Source organism: Homo sapiens, chromosome 8 (genome assembly GCF_000001405.40).
Source record: "Homo sapiens chromosome 8, GRCh38.p14 Primary Assembly".
Lineage (NCBI taxonomy): Eukaryota > Metazoa > Chordata > Mammalia > Primates > Hominidae > Homo > Homo sapiens.
In genome coordinates this window covers 66,416,534-66,435,725 of record NC_000008.11, presented here as the reverse complement: position 1 = coordinate 66,435,725, position 19,192 = coordinate 66,416,534, and the positions used below count along the sequence as shown (strand labels likewise).

The window sequence follows — 19,192 nt, the reverse complement described above, 5'->3', positions numbered from 1 at the left end:
TGGGAGGATCTTTGAGGAGGCCAGAAATTCGAGATTGCAGTGAGCCGTGATCACATCACTGCACTCCAGCCTAAGTGACAGCAAGACTCTGTCTCAAAAAAAAAAAAAAAAAAAAAAAAAAAAATCTTGAAATGAGGAGATTATTCTGGATGATCTGTGTGGGCCCTAAATGCAATCACTCATAGCCTTATAAAAGGGAGGCAGAGGGAGATTTGACCCAAAAGACAGAAATGTGAGCACTGAAGCAAGATGAGTGCCAGCTGTGAAGATGGAGGAAGGGGCCACAAGCTAAGGAACCGAAGGTAGAGCTCTAGAAGCTGGAAAAAAGCAAGTAAGTGGATTCTGCAGCACCTCTGAGCCTTACTCAAGAGGGAGTGTGGCCCTGCTCACACCTTGGCTTCAGCCTAGTAAAACTCATTTCAGACTTTTGACCTCTGGAACTGTTAAGACAAATGTGTGTTAAGCCACCAGGTTCATGGTAGTTTGTTACAACAGCTGTAGGAAACTAACATAGTGAGGGCTGCTCTGAACACCTCAAAAATTGCATCCCTTCCTTCAACATCCCAGCCTCCTTTATGTTCTCTGTAATAACTTTCAACAGCTAATGTACTCTCAATTTTACTAACTAGTTTGTCATCTATCCCCTGTGCCCCATGCATGGTGTGGTTAGGTTGTTTTGTTCCCTGCTGTACCCCAGAGATAACACAGTCAAAGCAGGGCTGCATTGCACATCTTTTTTTTTTTTTTGAGACACAGTCTTGCTCTGTAGCCCAGGCTGGAGTGAAGTGGCCTGATCTCTGCTCACTGCAAACTATGCCTCCCAGATTCAAGTGATTCTCCTGCCTCAGCCTCCTGAGTAGCTGGGACTATGGGCACCCACCACCCTGTGCAGGGCTGCACATCTGGAGACGGAATGTGACTCTTGCCCTCCAGGGCCTTCCCACAACCTCTCTGGCCAGTGCACGCCTTGCCTCTGTCTCCTTCAGTGCTGATTCTTTCCCCTCCATTCAGTTGTCAGCGCAGTTGCTCTATGGAATGTGTTGGGCAGAAGCCCAGAGTGCATGCTCTGTCCAATAGAAATGGCCACACATCACCCCGTGCCCTAGCCCACTTTGCCCAGATGAAACATGTGCCCAATGATGCCATTTTCCAATTTTCCAAGATTTTCATTGGAAATCTCCCACTTTTAAAATGTTTACCCTATTAGAATAATAAGCATGTGCAGAAGAAAGCACCATCTTGCTACTCCTGCTGTGGCAGTGCTGCTCCCCAGGAATTCACCCTCAGCTGTTTCCTTCTAGGTTAGAGTTTTGTTAGGGCTTCAACTGTCCTCCATACGCATGGATGGATGTGTTCCCAACTCACTCTTGAGCCCCAGAACAATACATTCAATCACCTACTGGGGTCTCCATCTGAATGTACCAGAAGCATGCTCAACTCAAAATGCCCTAGACTGAAGTTGCCATTTTCCTCCTAACACTAACTCTCCTACAATCCCTGCCTTGGTAAATGAGCCCACTGTTTACTTGATGCCCAAGCCAGAAATCTCAACTCTTCACTATTCAGATACAAAATCCTGTGGATTCTAACCAACCTCTCAGCATTTCTATCTACCCAAGGAACTGCCTCTCCGTGCATGAAGCCATTATCTTCAGGCTGGAGCAGGACAATGACCTCTAGTCCTTCCTCTTCACTCCACATTTCCACCAGAATGTGCTAACACAGTTCTGATTATGCCATACTCCCTTTTCATGCAACCATTCCAAAAACATATTCTGTGTGTGACACTGATTCCATGGGATATAAATGGTGTTGTGTGACAAAGAGTTCTATGATGACACAGGTTTACAACCAAAAATTTGAACACAGCTTTAGTATTTTTTGTAGCTTCTTGGAGCCCTGCATGTCTAATGTATATTTTGATTCTCCAAGAGGGCAATACAGCAGTAAGGAGCTTCTCAAACTTATTTGGCCATGTAATTCTTTTGTCATGGGACATTTTAAGGTATCAGTGTTTAATGGTGACAAATATTATTCAATGGCTTTCCATTATCTACAGCACACAATTCAAATTCCTTACTACAGGCCTAAGAACAAGGACTGTGAAGCCAGAGTATCTGGGTTCAAATTATGACTGTGCCATTTGCTTAGCTGTGTGACACTGGACAAATTCTTCTCCATGCCTTTATTTCCGTATCTATGAGGATGACAATACCGTGTGTCATAGGGTCAGTGAAAGGATTAGAGTTACTATTATACTGATAGTCCATTCAAAGTGTGTAAGACACTGCCGGGCTCATCGTATTAGCTATATTCTTATTCATGGTCTTTTATCAGCCGTCTTCTCCATCTTTACCTCCTCTTATAAAGGTAGGTCTACTTGTCTTTTGTGTCCTGGGACTGCATCTCCATCGCTGGTGTTGCTCTTCTCTCTGCCTGACGTTCCTCGCCAGTCCCTCGCCTTTCCTCCTACTGATCTGCACCTGTGAGCTCAAACTTTTCCATGTTTCCCAGGCAGACTTGTGCACTTGCACAGTCAGCAAGTATTTATCAGGTGACCAGGATGTACCTCACATTTCTGCTGGGAGGCAGGCGTGTCATGACATTGAATACCCTGACTCCCTGTACATGCCAGGAAGTGTGACTCTGCGACTTCTCACATCCATCCTTCCCTTCTACACCCAGTCTGCTATAGCCGGTTTTAGCCTCGTCCCCTCATCCCATTCCCCACTAGACCTCAAACTGCTCCAGAGCCTTTCATCTTTGTATCCCCAGAACCTAGAATAGTTTTTGGCACATAATATATGCCCAATAAATATGTGTCAATTGCATACATGAATTTGTCTTGGCCACCGTGCCAAGCTCTCCACTGCCTGCTACGATGTGGGACCAGGTCCTCTCTGGGCCTCAGTTTCTTTAACGGTAGACAAGCAGAGTAAAGGCTGCCTCACTGCGCCCTGAGAGGCTGCATCGCGCACTCTGTGACCTCGCTGTTCCGCCTGGCGCGCGGTGGGAGCCCAGGGCGGTATCCAAATTCTCCGAATTCTTGAAAGTAAGCGGAGAAGACTGCGCAGGATCTGAGCGGGTCACACCCAGGGGGCTGCGTGGGCACCCTGCGGTCCCCTGCCCGCCCGCCGGCCCCGCACTCACGCTGCGCGTTGCAGTTGCCTCAGCAAGTACGCGACCCGGGCTCGGGCGGCAGCGGCCATGGCGCTTGGAGTCCTCTTCCCTCCTCGGGTCGCTACACCGCCCCCTCCGCCGGCCAATCACGGAGGCTGCCCGCCTCCCGCCCCTCGGCCGCGCCTGCCCACCCGCTTCGCGGGGTCACCTGTCTAAGCCTCAAGCCAGTCGGGCTCAGGGCCATTTTCCCACGGAGTAAGAACCAGAACGCCAGCTGCCCCAGCGGCGCTCGCACCATCCACCCTTGAAATTGCCGTAGAAGGTAACTGCTCCGTAGGCCTCGGGTTCTGCCTTAAATCTCCTTACTTATCAACTCTATTTTTCACATGTTGAGGACTTGGGGGAAGGAAGAGGAACAGGGATATTCTTTTTCCACTGTTAATCCTTTAAAATGTTACTTTCCCTTCTAAGAGTATTTTAAGTGATCAAGACCCTGCCTTTAAACTGTTTTAACAGTAAACAAGAACCTAGCAGAGCCCGAGGGTTTTTGTTAAATACTGTGTGAATGGCTTTGCTTTTGATGAAAGCAAAATCAATAGTTAAAACTCTTACATCAATAGTTAAAACTTGCCATGATTAGACTATGCTCCGGGAGGGCTTGGCTGTGCCATATCTGCCATGTCCCAGTGGAAAAGCTGATTAACGATAAAGCTCAACTTTATCAGAAAGTATCCAAAGACAGTAACAACTAAACATTTGCATTTTTAGTAATCTGTTATTATGAAATCTGAATCCTTTATGGGAGATATTAAGTTTTACAGAAATGAATTTACTGCGATCAAACTGGAAAAGATTGATGGACAGGAAGACCAAGGACAGCTATATAAACATTTCACCTCCTAATCAAACCAGCTCAGGCCAACTTGACAAATGAATCAAAAAATAATGTTCTATGAGAACACATGTACACAGGGAGGGGAACAACACACATTGGGGCCTGGGGGCAGGGGATAGAAGGGGGCAGAGGGACTTAATACTTAGGTGATGGGTTGATAGGTGCAGCAAGCCACCACAGCACACGTTTACCTATGTAACAAACATGCACATCCTGCACATCTACTCCGGAACTTAAAAAAAGATAATAATGTCCTAATTAAGGATCTTATGGGTCTGTTTCTTTCTTCCCCCAAACAAAACTATACCTGACGTCAAGCTTAAAAACAAACACACACACACAAACAACTGGGGATATAAACGTAGAGAAAGATTTAAGTGTTTTCTGGATTAATGAGGATTATTACCATTAGTCAATGAAGCCCAAATTGATCATTTACAGGAAATCCATGTGTTCAGTGTTGAAAGGCATAAAATCTTTTTAAAAAACAGACATCAGTTTTACTACTTTGAATATTATATTTGATACCAAAAGAAGTATAAGTTTAGAAGTGGTATCACTGAAACCATTATAATTGAACTGCTTTTTTTTTTTGAGATGGCCCCTTCCTCTGTTGCCCAGGCTGGAGTGGAGTGCAGTGGCGTGATCTGGGCTCACTGCAACCTCCGCCTCCCAGGTTCAAACGATACTCCTGCCTCAGCCTCCCAAGTAGCTGGGACTACAGGTACCAGCCACCGTGTCTGGCTAATTTTTTTATTTTTAGTAGAGATGGGGTTTCACTGTGTTGGCCAGGCTGGTCGCGAACTCCTGACCTCAGGTGATCCGCCCGCCCCGGCCTCCCAAAGTACTGGGACTCTACAGGAGTGAGCCACTGCGCACGGCCTGCTTTGTGTTTTTCAGAAAGTAAACAAAAATAATCTGTACCAGGTATCCAGGTAACCGGCTTCAAGTACAATTTCTACCCAGTAGTCAGAAAGTTAAAAGTCACACTAGATAAGACATCTTTATTACTTAATCTTTAAAACAGTCACTTGCCTATTCAATTCTGAAACTGTTTGTTTTCTTTCCCTCCCCCGCACTCCCGCTCTGATACACAAACTTGTTGTAAAAATAATGCAGAAACATATACGTCAATCTAAGTCTCTGAAATATGGCCAACTCTACCTCGCCGTATATCCAACATTAAAAAGAAAAAAAAAGGCTGTTTAAGAATAGAACTCATTCCCGGTTTCCACCAAATTATTTCCCTAATTCTTAAATCCTCAAATAAGTTCTTAATCTCCAAAGTCTCGGTTGTGGGAAAAACATTAATTTGTGCAGTCCAACACTTACATACTTTCTTGACGGAAGGGCAATCCTGTCCCTTTAAACTCAATGAAGGCAGCGGCCAGGTCCTTCTGAGTCCCCGTATAATTGCCTAGAACTTAACATTTAGTATTCATAGTCCTTGGTTTACAGACGGGTCCGACAGTTAGAAACTATTACTTCCTCCTCTTTCCTCCTGGGCGCTGTCCTCCTTTTCTCTTGCCACCCAAGCCAGGCGGCCCAGAATTCATCTTGCCTCCCAAGCCCCCTTTCCTCTTCCCTCCCTGGCTGGGCGGGCCCCCTTTCCTCTTGCCCCCAGGCCCCTGCCGGCCTCCCTTTCTCTTGCCCTTCTGGCTCATTTTCCTCCTCTTGGCGGCCTCCTCCTGGTCCTCCTCCCTCATCTGCTTATTGGTGGCCCTAGTCACATCCAGCTGAGGCTTCTTGCTGTTCATGACACGAAGCAGCTCCAACTGGTTCTTTTTCTCGGCTGCAAAGTCCCCGAAAAGGGGTTGAAACTTCCTTTTCTTGCCGGAGCCCCGGGGCACCTTCTCCTTGGGGAGGCGCTCCTGAAAGCGCCCCACAGAGGCGGTGGAGACCTTGGCCACTTGCATGGCGCGGCCCAGCTCCTCCTTACTCTGGTGTCCGGTAGGGTGCAAGCCGGCCGCGCTGGGCAGCTGCATCTTGTGCGCGCGGGCCAGGTTACGCAGCCGGTTCAGCTCGTTCTTGGCCACCCTTTCCTTCTTGGCCTGAATCCGCTTGGCGAACTGGTCCTCCAAGGGGTCGGCATTGCCGGGCACCTCAATCAGCCATTCTTTGGTGTCGTCCCGGGCGCGCTGGTAGCCCCAGCGCCGCCGCCACTGGCCACTCACCTCGTCCCACACCAGGTTGGTCTTCTTCTTGGGACGGATGCCCTTGAGGCGCGCGAACTGCTGCCAGCGTGTAAGTGGCCGCGGTCGGGGCAGAGGCTTCTCTCGCGGCAGGCGTGTGGTGGGCTCCGGCAGCCGCGCCACTATCGCCTCTTCCACGCGCTCCGTGGGCAGCTGCCACAGCTGGTTGATGAGCAGTTGCGTGTTGTCCCGCGCCAGGGCCTGTAGCTCGGCCTCCGGCGTGGGTCCGGCGCACCGCAGCCCGGTCGGGGGGTTCCGGTCCGACGCCAGCAGGTTGCCCAGGTCAAACTGCAGCTCCAGCTCCTTGTGCACCGTGATGCGTTGCAACTTCTCTGCCTCGTCCTGCTCTGCCTTTGCGAGCAGCTCCTCCACGCTCTGGCCCTCCATGGCTCCGGCTCGGCTCACTCGCTTTGGGGCTGCAGCTGAAGTTACTTTTCCTACAGTGGCGGCCCAAACTCCGGCAGCATAACCACGTGCAGATGCCGGGATGCCCAATCCGGAAAAGAAAGGTTCGCTTCCGGAGCGTCCGGAAGCGGCTCGCAATCCGGGCGACCAGAGGAAAGGCCGGCAGAGGGCGGTATGGAGAGATGATGGGATTAGAAGCGGGACCTTTAGGCTGGCGCCAGATAGAGGCGGAGCTGGCCCGAGCAGGCCGCACTGCTAGTTCCAGAGCAGGATTGGGACTACGATTCCCAGGATGCAGGGGGCGGGAGGCGGTCTAGAGGGCGGTCCAGGGACAGCTCGGGGGGCCGCCTAGGGGGTGGTCCAGGGGGCGGTCCGGGGACAGTCTCGCAGGCGGTCTAGAGAGGGCGGTCCCGGGGGGCGATCTAGGGGGCGGTCTTGGGGGGGGCAGTTCAGGGAGTGGTCTTAGGATGGTGGTCCGGGGACAGTCTTGGGGCTCAATCCGGAGGGGCGGGCCGGAGGGTTTGTCCAGGGGCGCGGTCCGGGACCGGGGCGGGTACAAATTCCTGGGACTGCCTGTGGTGTGGGGTTCCAATCAAGTGCGTGTTACAATTTCAGTGTAAATCCGTTGTGAAGATGTTTAGACAATCACCCTTCTTAGGGCCAAATAGTTTCACTGGAGTCATAGTCGGCTTTCAGGGTTCCTAGTTGTGGCCCGAGAAAGATAACATCCCAAAGATACACATAGAGCTAATTGTAGAAGATTCGTTTTGTTTTGGGAGTCAGTGGCTCTGGCAATGAAGCCACCCCGAGTGGGCGCGGGTGTGCACCGACCCTAGTGAGCTAGCTGACTCGGAGATCCGGGATTCTGCAGTTACAGAACCTAGTCTAGTTCAATTAATCTAGTACAGTGCTGAAACTAAGCCACGCTCTGCAGTTACACTGCCTGGGTTCCAATCCTGACTGTGCCACTGTTGGTCCTTCAGCAATTTTACTTGTTGAGGCCGTTTTAAGGCCTGCGAGATAATGATAATAATACTTCCTAGGGTGGTTATAAGATAAATGAGTTAATATCGTCCAAGGGAGGGTTAGACGAGGGCCTGGAGCGTATGAGTACTCAGTACAAATTAGCCAAATACCGATTATTATTTCATTTTCATAGGCTCTGGGAGGTAAGTGCTACATGGTGTTAAGTATGAGTCAAACGGCCTACAATCAGGTATCAGGTCACCATTACTTGGAGAGGATGTTTGATCTAAGCCTTATTTATAAATTGACAAACATAAAACATTAGTTACTGCTACATGGTAAGAACTCAGTATGTGTTAGCTATTAGTATTAACTATGTTATTAATTATTGTATTAACTATATTATTTTCACAGATGAAACAAGGAGGGCTCAGAGAGGTGAAATGACTTATCTAAAGTTATGCAGTTAGGGAATATAAGAACAAGAGATATCTTAACTCTGGTTTTAAGTCTGTAGATCTATTCTCTGCAATGTCGTCCAAGCTCTTGATACTCATTAAAGTGTGGTCTGCATACCAGCAGCATAATATCCCCTGGGAGCTTGTTGGAAATGCAGAACGTCAGGCCTCACTCTAGATGTAATTTATCAGAACCTTTATTTTAATAAGATCTGTAGGTGACTAGGATGTACATTTGAGTATCAGAGGCACTGTTGATTGCGTGGTTTACAGGGTTTATCTTCCTTTCACTGGGGGCCAGGTTTATCCTAGAGGGGGTTATGCTGGAGAATTAACCAATGAAATTAACTTAATAGCAATTAGCAAATAGACTCAGTTTAGTTTCAGCATTGTGCTAGCCTTTCTCATCCAGAAGCATTTTAGAATTTGCTGTTTTTTTTTTCCCCTTGAACCTACTTTAACATTCAGCATCAAGGCTTTAACATCAGTCATCCCATGTAGCCAAGGCTAGGTCAAAGACCATATTAGCTAACTGCCTTGAGCCTTAAACCTTTGGGATTTGCCATAGGAGAGAGTTGAGTGTATTGATATGACTGCTATGGGCTTGGCTTGGTTTCTCATTCATTCATTCACTTGACAAACATTTAATTGAATGGCTACCATGTGGCAGACACTAGGTGCAAAGATAACTGAGACCTTATGGAATACTGGGGAAGAAAGGTAAAAAGAAATTGACTATATAATGTAACGTCATTGGACCTTTAATAGGAAGTACCAGTTATGTAGGAGTTAGCTTCTCTGTCAATCTTCTGAATTGGGAAAAAAAGAGCATAGGTTGACAAGTGTTAAATGGTATGATCTGGATCATACAGGTCAGCTCTTAATTGAACTCTGTTTTATGTTCAGTGTTTTTTTTTTTTTTTTTTTTTTAGACAGGGTCTCACTTTGTCACCCAGGCCGGAGTGCAGTGGCACGATCTTGGCTCACTGCAGCCTCAACCTCCTGGGTTCAAGTGGACCTCCTGCCTCAGCCCCCTAAGTAGCTGGGACTACAGGCACGTGCCACTACACCTGGCTCTTTGTGTGCATGTGTGTGTGTGTATTTTTTGTAGAGCCAGGTTTTGCCATGTAACCCAGGCTGGTCTCAAACTCCTGAGCTCAAGTGATCCACCTACCTTGGCCTTTCAAAGTGGTAGGATTACAGGCGTGAACGACCTTGCCCAGCCATATTCAGTGGTTTTTTATAGTCTAAACTGATTTTAATTTCCTTGAAGACTAGAGACTGATTTTTACTTCCACATAGTGCTGGGCACATATTAGGCATTCAACAAAATGATTGTTTAAAAGCATAAACACTATAGGGTTATCTAATTAAAGGTTATTACTATTGATTGTGTTAGATTCAAGGTGAGCAAAAACAGTAAGATTGGGATTTCGGGCTTAAAAAAAATCTTACTGAGGTAAGTGGGTAAGTTGTGGTCTCCAGGTTGCATTTGTATCATTCTTATTTTAGGCAAGACTATACAGTGCCCAGAGAAAGCAGGCTCTGGCCAGGCGTGGTGGCTCACACCTGTAATCTCAGAACACTGGGAGGCCAAGGCGGGAAGATCCCTTGAGACCAGGAGTTTGAGACCAGCGTGAATAAGATGGTGAGACCCCGTCTCTACAAAAAGTAAAAAAATTAGCTGGCTGTAGTGGCATGCGTTTGTAGTCCCAGCTACTCAGGAGGCTGAGGAAGGCTCCCTTGAGCCCAGGAGTTTGAAGTTACACTGAGCTGTGATGGTGCCACTGCACTGCAGCCTGGGCAACAGAGCATCTCCTGATTCTGAAATAAATAAATAAAAACCTCCTTCATTAAAAAAAGAAAAAGGAGGCCTACCAGAGATGTATAAATATATATGAATATATATTAATAGTACAGCAAATGGTGGTATATATTGTCTTTTTCTTTTGTTGGTTTCCCTTCTTCCTTATATCCCGTAAATACAGAGAGATCCTAAGTTTGGTCATCAGATCCCACTTTTTCTCTCTATGTGCTCCCTGTGACATGTCATCCACTTGCATGGTGCCAGCTACCACTTTTGTGCAGCTGGTTCTTACAGGTACATTTTTCTTTCTTTTTCGGAGCTCTAGGATTTAATCTTCAACTACCTACTGGGCTTTTCCGCCATATTCTAAACTCAATATGGCTAAAACGACATAACATATCATCATCTCCCAGATTTGCTTCTCCTTCATCCATCCATCCATCCATCCATCCATCCATCCATCCATCCATCCGTCCATCCCTCCCCTCTTTTTCTCCCAGGAAATGTTTATAGAAGGCCTTTGATGCCTGAGGCACTATGCCGACATTGAGTTGATGTTATCATCATTCTAGTCTAGAGCTTGGGCTTGAAACTATGACATCATCCTTGACTTTTCTCTTCCTATCTCCAAATCCAATCAATGTAAAAGTCTTGTTTGGCTTATCTCTATATTGTACCTTTTCCATTCCCACTGCCATGACCTTGCCACTATTTTCCTAGACTGGATCTCTTTCATCTGCTTCTCCATATTCTTTCTCCACTCTGTCCCTGGCTTCCAACTGGGTTTGGCCAGCAGGGGCAGTGACAGAAGATCAGAAGGCGTGAAGAGAGTGAGGGCACGCATGCAGATTGCCATCAAAAGTCCATCAAAAGGCCACAGCTCCCATCAGGTAGCCCTGTCCACGCAGCCATCTTCCTCCTGCTCCTCTAGCTGCTCCCTTGGTTGCTGCAGGCCTAGGAGTGATTATAGTTCTCTGCTAATGCAGCACTACCGTTATTGTCAGTTTCCTTAAACTGCCCACATCTCTGCAAGTATTCTTTGTTTATCTTTCTTAAATTACCCAGCTTGACCACTGCCTGTTTGCTGCCCTGACTGATATCCTGGGAACCATCCTAGGAGCATCCCAACATTTCCTGCTTCCATACTCTTTTCAGGGCAGTCCTGAAGCTTTACCTTTTGTGCATCTGGCCAAATCACTCTTCTCAAAGACCCTCCTTTCTCCTTAATGAAATAATGACTATTCTTGGTCTTGGATGTTTATGATCTGGCCCCAAGCAACTTTTTTTGTAGTCACATGTCATGATAGTCCTCCTTATGCTTGTTTTCCAAGTATTTCTTTCCCACTCTTATTTTCTATCTTAGCTCTCTCTAGAGCCTTAAGAACATTCCTCAAGAAAGGGAAAAGTGAGGTGAGGTGCAGGGCAGAAAAAGCAGCAATTATTGTAAAGTGAACCTGGAAGGGAGAGTTTTTCCCAAAGCAGGAATAAGAAGGTTAAAGCCATGAAAGCAATACCTTTCATGTTCCCTCAAAACATAACTACTTTGGTCAGTAAAACATTTTTGTAAGAAATTTCCTTTTCATTCTTTGATGCCACATTAACTTGGATTTACTTTCTAAATGTCTGTTTTTTCAGTTGCCTCTTTTTGGTAGCGGAAATTGTTAGGGATGATTCAACCATTCTTTAATCCTGCTGTGAGCATAGTTTATAAAAGTATTTTTGTCTAGGAAATTCAGTGTGCCAGTAATTTGATAAAATAGGAGAAAAGGGCCCTTGAAATGCTTACATTATTTCCACATGGCTCATTTTTACTGATTTGAGATTTTAATTTGGAAGTACTTAAAAGAAAAAAATTTCTTAATCATAGACAAAACTTGTATTTATGTATTTCAGTCTTAGTGAGAAACCTGTACTAAAAGTTTATTATTTTATTTTAAAGAGGAACAAAGAAGATACAGCATTTTGTGTAGTTAATGTAGAAGCAGATAGAAAAACGACGAAATATTGTACATTCACCTATAAAGAACTTTGGATTTTAGGATAGTAAAATTGATGGTAGACTTTTGGAACTGATTTAAGTTGTTTTGGTCTCTGTTGCAGGGTGAAAATGCTGTGATACCTTTCCTCAGCCCTCAAAAGGGTCATGGCTGCCGGGAGTGGTGGCTCATGCCTATAATCCCAGCACTTTGGGAGGCCGAGGTGGGCAGATCACCTGAGGTCAGGAGTTTGAGACCAGCCTGGCTAACATGGCGAAACCCTTTCTCTACTAAAAATACAAAAATTAGCCAGTCGTGGTGGCGGGCGCCTGTAATCCCAGCTACTTGGGAAACTGAGGCAGGAGAATCGCTTGAACCTGGGAGGTTGGAGGTTGCAGTGAGCCGAGATTGGGCCACTGCACTGCAGCCTGGCCAATGGAGCATTTCAAAAAAAAAGAAAGAAAGAAAGAAAAAGGAGGGGGGTTGTCATGGTTGACACTCCTATAATGAAAGACAGGTTAACAAGACAAAAGCACGGCAAATTTATTCAGTCAGAATTTTGCGTGACACGGAAGCATTCACAATGAAGACTCAAAGACCCAAGGGAAAACTGTCCATTTTTATGCTTAGATTCAATGAGGAGTGGACAACCATGTAAAAATGGGATTGGACAAAAAGGAAATAATCTAATGTAATAGATTGAAGGGGAACAACCCAGCAAGGCCTGACTATTTGGATTCTTCTTGGCCTCTCTGTGTGGCATTCCTTCCTCCCTGGTATAGAGCAGGACCCCTTCTGGAATAAGGGTTTTATGATCTACTATCAGACAAGGTAGACCAGAGAATTTCTTTATGGCCAGCTCATATGCAGAAAGGCAATGGAAGTTGAGAGAAATATGTTTAGTTTCTATGACCCACTGTGGGGCAGAGGAATTCTGATTTCTATGGCCTGCCTTAGGGTAGAAGGGGGACCAGGAGACAGGAGGGCAGGAGAAGCCCAGAGAGAGACTTTGTTTCTAGGGTCCTTCCAGTATCCTTCGGCTCAAAGTACTCAGCATATCAAAGCACCTTACTTTGGGGCATTGTTTTTCTGAGCTCCAATGCTGTAAAAGACACAATGGTTTTTATTTTCCAAAAATTGCTAGATGCAGCTTTTTGCATTTGCCACAATCTTATTACCACCTGTAAGTAAGCACCACTAGCTGATAGTTTTTATTCATAAAACATCATCATTGTATCCTAAGAGAATGAGATTGGTATTGGTCTTTAGATTTTACTTCTATAAGCAGATCAGCTACATGGATGAAAGACTGATATAAAATGGAAAGCTGAATTTCCAGAATTTTAGGGATATTTGCACTCAAAGAATCTAATAACAGAATATTTAGATCTGCTTATTAATCTATCATTTTAATTACATTTTAATTTATGAATTTAAAGTTACAATGAGTAAAAAATCCTTTTAGGTTTTTATTAATCAGTAACACCTGAACAGTTTTTGTAAATTGCTTTAGAGTAGATTTACTCCAGACGAGGCAGCTGAGTCCGGAATACCTTTCCCCTAAGGAAAGCAACCTTGTTGCCATGCAGCCTTCAATTTGCCTTTGTAGTCATAGACCATGTATGAAATATCAATCCTTTCTAAATGAAGTGACTGCCAATCAAATCTTTCTTTTAAACTTCCCACTAGAGCAATATTAAGAATACACAGGGAAGTTATGAAGTTGTGATTATGCCGAATAAACACAAATTCCTGGCCCTTCTTAACCATGAATTATTTCTAAACATTATTAACCCATTATTTTTTAGAACACATCCGTGAAAAGTGAAAACAATGGATAGAAAAACCAAAACTCTGACCACATATGTGGTCAGTTCTGTAGCCTACACTTTTCCTTTTTGAAGTGTTTTTATTTGCCAAAGGAAGACAGCAAAGGAAAGAACCTCTTAGTGGCAAGTAGGTGTCACTGTGTACTTGTCAGCCACTGAGAGTGCACCAGTCTTGTCAGCTCCCTGGGCCGCTTGGGGATGCAGAAGATTCAGTTGCTTGTAGCATAGGTGCTTTCCCCCAGGCCTAAATAGGACTTATTTAGAATGTATAAATAATGTTCCTTGCATTTCCTAATGTTTATTTCCCTTGCCTCATTATCCAAAATACTGTGAATTTTTAGCTGAGGAAGCTGACTTCTTATGGTGTATCCTGGATTTTCTTCCCTGGAAAGCCTGTGAATTTCAAAGGAAACAAAGTTTAGGTCTCAGGCTTCCCCTTATTTATCTTGAGAATGAAGGGTTTTGAAGAGGTGGCCTTTGCAATTCATCTCTATGATCCTTTTCTTTTGTTTCAAACCTACATACTTCAGGTGCTCCAATGTTGTTTTCTTATAAAGTGCTTTCTTTCCTAGTTGTTGATTAAAGTTTTTTCCAGTATATCTCATTTTACAAACCTCCCCCTCTTTCTGAGTCATTTATCTCATTTCCTAGGCTGATTGTATGATTTCACTTAGTGAAACAGCTTCCTGTGTGCACAAGGAGTCTGTGACTATACAGATGTCAATCAGTTTTTAATTATGTGGAGGCTGATTATTGTGTTTCATAGCTTATTTGTAATTCTTTTCTTTTTTCTTTGCTTGCCCTTAAAGAGAGAATGGGCAGCGTATAGTCCATTTTATTGTTTGTTACTTGTTCTGGAAAAATGTCATAGAGAAGAAGATAGAGGAGATATTTATAAAATATTTATGTTTATAAAGTTGAATCTGAGAATGGAAAGATTGTGGATTGACTATCTCTTTTCTAGCTCAAGATCTAGAACTGATGATGTCCTTTGATTGTTACAGTTACAGACAAGTTTTAAAGACAGCTTCAAAATTACCTTCCCCAAATAATAACATTGGGACAGGTTTGTGCTTCCTAGTTTGATATTGCTTCAGAGAAAGTTAGTGAGGAAATGTTAATACAAGGAAGTAAAGTAAAAGAAAACAAAAACCAAACACTACTAGTATGTTTAGTAATTATTATTCTGAGTATGAGTCTTGGGACTTTTGGCCTGATTACCTGGAGACAAATTCCCTAAGGGATCATCACCCCACCTGAAAAATGGGCTAACATGATTTCTTAGTTTTAGAGTTCTGTGAGTTGGAGATTAGTTCATCAAGCACACTTGCAAAGAACTCTATAGGGGTAGTCAGGAGACAGCCTCCAGCTCCATCTCTGTCACTCCATAGTTGTATATGGCTTTGGCCAGTCACTTTATCTCTCTGTGAATTTCCTTATGTATGAAGTGAGCTTCACCAGCTTCTCTCTGTGCCTCTTCCAGCTCCTTGTTAGCTGTCCGTACTTTTGTTAAGATGGCCTCAGGAGAACAGGGTAGGTGATGGTGAAGCATAGACTTGAAGTCAGATGTTTGTAATTGGGGTTCCATGGGTGAGCTTCAGAGGGACATGAATCCCTTGAAGTTTTATGCAAATGTGTGTATGCATGTGCATTTTTATGAATAGAAGATTTTTTCCCATCAGATTCTCAGTGGCATCTGTGACTCCCTATCCCTCTTTCACAAGGTTAAGAACTACTGTATTGTAGGAGAGGGAGATAAATGAAGGCTGGAGGGAGTAACTGGTGAAGGCTTTATGAAAGAGGAAGTTCCTGAGTTGGCTTTGGAGCCTGAGTTTTAATAGATAGGAGAAGGAAAGGAGCATTCCAGTAGATGGTAACAATATGAATAAAGGGATGTAGCTAATTCTTATGGCAAGTATAATATGTCAGTCACTGATTGTCTTTATAAATCCCACAACAGGCCTAAGAGGTAGATGTTATCAATATCCTCATCTTATAGATGAGAAGACTGAGGGTCATAAAGATTAAGTTATTAAGTTACTATGCAGTTAATAGTTTGTAGAATCAGGATTTGAACCTTTGCAGTCCGATCTCAGAGTCCATGCACATAAACACTACATCATAAAGCTTCTTCTTTCTGGTTCACTAGCAATTTGATTTGCCTAGAATAGATGATTTGTATTGGGGACAGGTAAGAAATAGGCTTGGCAAATGGTCAGGATGGTGCCAACTGTGGTGCAACTTTAGGATCAAGAAGAAGAATTTCAATTTGATGCTATAGGCAATAGGGAGTCATGGAAGGTTTTAGACCAGTGAAGACATAACCACAATGGTATTTTCTTAACTTTATTATTTAAATCTTCCATGTTCTTACTAATTTTGTGTTTTCTTGATCTATCAGTTACTGAAAGATGTGTTGAAACTTTCTACTTTGATTATAAATTCCCATTCTGTATTTGATGCTCTAATATTAAAAGCATAACATTTTGAATTGCTGAATCTTCCTGGTGGTGTTTTCCTTTTATCTTTTTATTATAACATAGCGAACATCTTTATTCCTGAAAATGCTTTCAATGACACTATAGCTATATTGTTCTTGGTTAGTGTGTACCTGGTACATCTTTTTTCATTTTTTTGTTTCCAACCTCTTTGCATCCTTTTGCTTTAGCTATATGTCTCTTTAAGCAATATATATCTGAATTTTGTTGTTGATTTGTTTTTTATATGAAAACTGCCAATATCTGACTTTTAATTAATACAGTTAGATTATATTTATTGTAATTACTGATGTATTGAATTTATTTCTATCTTATTTTGTGCTATCTGTCTACCTGGACTTTTCTATTTCTATTTTTTCCTCTGCTCCTACATTTTAATAGCTCGCTTGAGTTTTCTTTTACATTTTAACCTTAACTTCCTATGGTTTGGAAATTTCTATCCTTCTGGGGTGATCCTTTAAGTGTTGACAGCATAATTGACTTAAATCTAAAGTTAAACAACTTTACCCTTCTCCTATCAAATATATGAATTTTTGAATGGTTTAACTCTGACGACACTCTTTTTCATAAACACTACTATTTTCCTGAGTTTTAGTTCCATCTTGTTTTTAGGCACTACAGATTAATCATCTTCAAAACACTATTTTATATAGTGAAATTTGGACATATGGTTATATATTTCTTTGCTCATCACTCCTTACATTTCGGCCCTTCCTTTTTGGTTCATTTTCCTTCTTCCTGAAACACATCTTTTAGTAGTTTTGTTGGTGAGGGTCAATTAGTAGTAAACACTTGTAGTCTTTGTTCCTGTGGCTTTATTTCACCCTCACTGTTGAATGGTAAGTTGGCTGGATTTGAAATCCAGGCTGCCAGTTTTTCTTTTTTGTTTTTTGTTTTTTTTCAGTTCTTTGAGGATATTATCCCATTATCTTTTGTTTTATTTTGTTTTGTTTTCTTGCTGCTGCTAAAAAATCTGTCAGTTGAATTGTCATTCCATGTAGATTACTCCTATGTTAGATGCAGAGATGTGCCTCCCAGATCCCTCTTCCAGGAGGCACTTCCTGTCCAGATGGGGAGGACTGTGACCATCACACAGCCTCTACCTGTCAGCTCTTTTCAGATCTGTCTCAGCTGCAGAGAACTGCTTCCCCTGAACTCATGTTCTATGGAATACCTGCCTTCTGCAACTGAGCGTGGCAGGGATAGACAGACCTGGCCACCCGTTTCAGCCCAGTGCAGGACACTCTGAAAGGTTACTCTTTCCTCTGAGCTCCCTGCTGGGTTGGCTGAGGCCTTGTCAGGCCACATCACAGTGTGATTTCTCCCTCTGCTCAGTTCTCCTTCCACCCTTTTCCTCTCCTGGGAGTTGATCCCTAATAAACATTTTGCACCCAAAACTCTATCTCATTGTCTACTTACTTCTGTTTTCTCTGTGGCTTCATCCAAGGTCTTCGCAGTGTCTTCGGGTTCTGTGGTTTCACCAAAATAGTTCTAACTGTGGATTTCTTTGTATTTACCATACTCAGGATTTCTCTTTCCTGAACCAGAGGGTTTATGTCTTTCATTAACATTATTAGTCTTTCTCATTTTGAGTATTTGCCCTGCCATTTCTTTTTTCTTTTTCAGGAATATGAATAAATACATTAGGCCTTTGTTTTGCTTTGTTTCTGTGTGCTGTCTTCAGGGTACTCCCTCAGGTTGGTTTCCCAGTTCACTAATTTTCCCTTCATATTTATATTAACTGCTTTGTAAACTATCTATTGAGAGCCAGGTGCAGTGGCTCACACCTGTAATCCCAGTGCTTTGGGAGACTGAGATGGGAGGATAGCTTGAGGCCAGGAGTTTGAGACCAGCCTAGGCAGCATAGTGAGACATCATTTCTTAAAAAAAAAAAAATTAGGTCGGTGCAAAAGTAATTGCGGTTTTAATTTAATTTATAAAAATTAGCCAGGTGTGGTGGCATGTGCCTGTAGTCCTAGCTACTCAGGAGGCTGAGGCAAGAGGATTGCTTGAGCCCAGGAGTTCAAGTCTGCAGTGAGCTGTGATTCTCTAAGTTGGGCAACAGAGTTTGACCCTGCCTCTAAAATAAATAAATACATAAATAAATAATCAATTGAACTTTTAATGAGCACGCTAGACTTTTGATTTGTAAAAATTCTAATTGTTTTGTTTTCAAGTCTGTTCTTTTCACATAGTATCTTGGGCTTTTTTCATATTTAAAGTTTGTCTTTTAGGTCTTTACTTAGAACATGTATTATGGTCTCCATCTGTTAGCTCTATTATCTAAACACTCCGAAGGCCTAATACTGCTTTTGTTGTGTATGTTGATTGATTTTCCATGTGTTTGGTAATTTTGAGTTATGCACTTGTTTTTGGCAAGGCTTTATCTGTGGGAATCCTGTGTAATCTGGATTAAGGGCATGTCCTCTCAGAGAAGTTTTGAATTTGCTTCATTGTTAGCTGGAAACCTTTTTTAAAAATTAATAACTTGGTTTAGGGGCTCCTAGATCATTTGGGTTATGTAAATCTAAACCCCAAACCCACATAAGAAGGAGCCCATAGCAAAATTGAGTTAAAATATTTTCAAAATTAGTTTTTATGGGTTATGTGAGATATTTTGATACAGGCATGCAATGCGTAGTAATCACATCAGGGTAAATGGGGTATCCATCATTTCAAGCGCAGGTAAAATATTTTTTTCACACCCGATCCAGGTTATGCCATTCAAGCTTCTTTATTATAATTTACTTCCATTACTGGTTGGATTTTTACTTTTTTTAGTTTACCCTTTCATCTAGGCCTATTTGGGGATGTTGTTTCTAATTTCCCACCTCATGTGGCCCGAGGTCTTTTCCCATGAGCAGTTAAATCCAAATCGCTAGGTGTTGGAGATCAGCACCCATCCTTTCCACCCTCCCAGGGCTGCTGTAACATTCTCTCTAGTTTCTAGTTCTTTCTTTGCTTTTGGTCTCTGAAACTATCTTTTCCTTTCATGAAAGCTCAACTATGAATTCAAAATTATGTTTGTCCTATTTCTTGCAACATT

The 19,192-nt window shown here is 43.3% G+C and overlaps 2 protein-coding genes and 2 long non-coding RNA genes across 7 annotated transcripts in view, besides 5 other annotated features; 2 read left to right on the top strand and 2 right to left on the bottom strand.

Annotated features, from left to right (window-relative positions):
• ADHFE1 (alcohol dehydrogenase iron containing 1) overlaps positions 1 to 3,222 on the bottom strand; it is a 36,404-nt gene extending 33,182 nt beyond the window's left edge. The window contains exon 1 of the mRNA NM_144650.3: positions 3,151 to 3,222. Coding sequence (NP_653251.2) covers positions 3,151 to 3,209 — 59 coding nt within the window. The 5' untranslated portion in view covers positions 3,210 to 3,222. The remainder of the gene's footprint in view (positions 1 to 3,150) is intronic.
• Positions 2,969 to 3,388: a silencer, noted in NCBI's record as "silent region_19253". NCBI's record gives its function as "represses an Ori minimal core promoter by ATAC-STARR-seq in GM12878 lymphoblastoid cells {active_cell/tissue: GM12878}" and the evidence as "EXISTENCE:reporter gene assay evidence [ECO:0000049][PMID:35858748]".
• The window catches only part of LOC102724687 (uncharacterized), a 233,269-nt gene continuing 217,436 nt past the window's right edge, over positions 3,360 to 19,192 (top strand). For all 4 annotated transcript variants that reach the window (XR_929013.3, XR_007060949.1, XR_929012.3 and 1 more), the window contains exon 1: positions 3,360 to 3,442. This is a non-coding gene — a long non-coding RNA (uncharacterized LOC102724687). The remainder of the gene's footprint in view (positions 3,443 to 19,192) is intronic.
• Positions 4,993 to 6,712, bottom strand: RRS1 (regulator of ribosome synthesis 1). Its single transcript, NM_015169.4, has one exon. It carries the CDS (start codon positions 6,592 to 6,594, stop codon positions 5,497 to 5,499), a length of 1,098 nt encoding a protein of 365 aa, NP_055984.1. The 5' UTR covers positions 6,595 to 6,712; the 3' UTR covers positions 4,993 to 5,496.
• Positions 5,145 to 5,194: an enhancer, noted in NCBI's record as "active region_27480". NCBI's record gives its function as "activates an Ori minimal core promoter by ATAC-STARR-seq in GM12878 lymphoblastoid cells {active_cell/tissue: GM12878}" and the evidence as "EXISTENCE:reporter gene assay evidence [ECO:0000049][PMID:35858748]".
• Positions 6,464 to 6,833: an enhancer, noted in NCBI's record as "active region_27479". NCBI's record gives its function as "activates an Ori minimal core promoter by ATAC-STARR-seq in GM12878 lymphoblastoid cells {active_cell/tissue: GM12878}" and the evidence as "EXISTENCE:reporter gene assay evidence [ECO:0000049][PMID:35858748]".
• RRS1-DT (RRS1 divergent transcript) lies at positions 6,749 to 16,139 on the top strand. The gene is made up of 3 exons (NR_040434.1): positions 6,749 to 6,784; positions 9,549 to 9,684; positions 11,944 to 16,139. It is a non-coding gene; the product is annotated as an RRS1 divergent transcript (long non-coding RNA).
• Positions 6,974 to 7,063: a silencer, noted in NCBI's record as "silent region_19252". NCBI's record gives its function as "represses an Ori minimal core promoter by ATAC-STARR-seq in GM12878 lymphoblastoid cells {active_cell/tissue: GM12878}" and the evidence as "EXISTENCE:reporter gene assay evidence [ECO:0000049][PMID:35858748]".
• Positions 7,254 to 7,323: an enhancer, noted in NCBI's record as "active region_27478". NCBI's record gives its function as "activates an Ori minimal core promoter by ATAC-STARR-seq in GM12878 lymphoblastoid cells {active_cell/tissue: GM12878}" and the evidence as "EXISTENCE:reporter gene assay evidence [ECO:0000049][PMID:35858748]".

What these genes read in the sequence shown, in the direction of transcription:
- RRS1 (NM_015169.4), bottom strand. Translation starts at nt 6,594, where the DNA reads ATGGAGGGCCAGAGCGTGGAGGAGCTGCTCGCAAAGGCAGAGCAGGAC.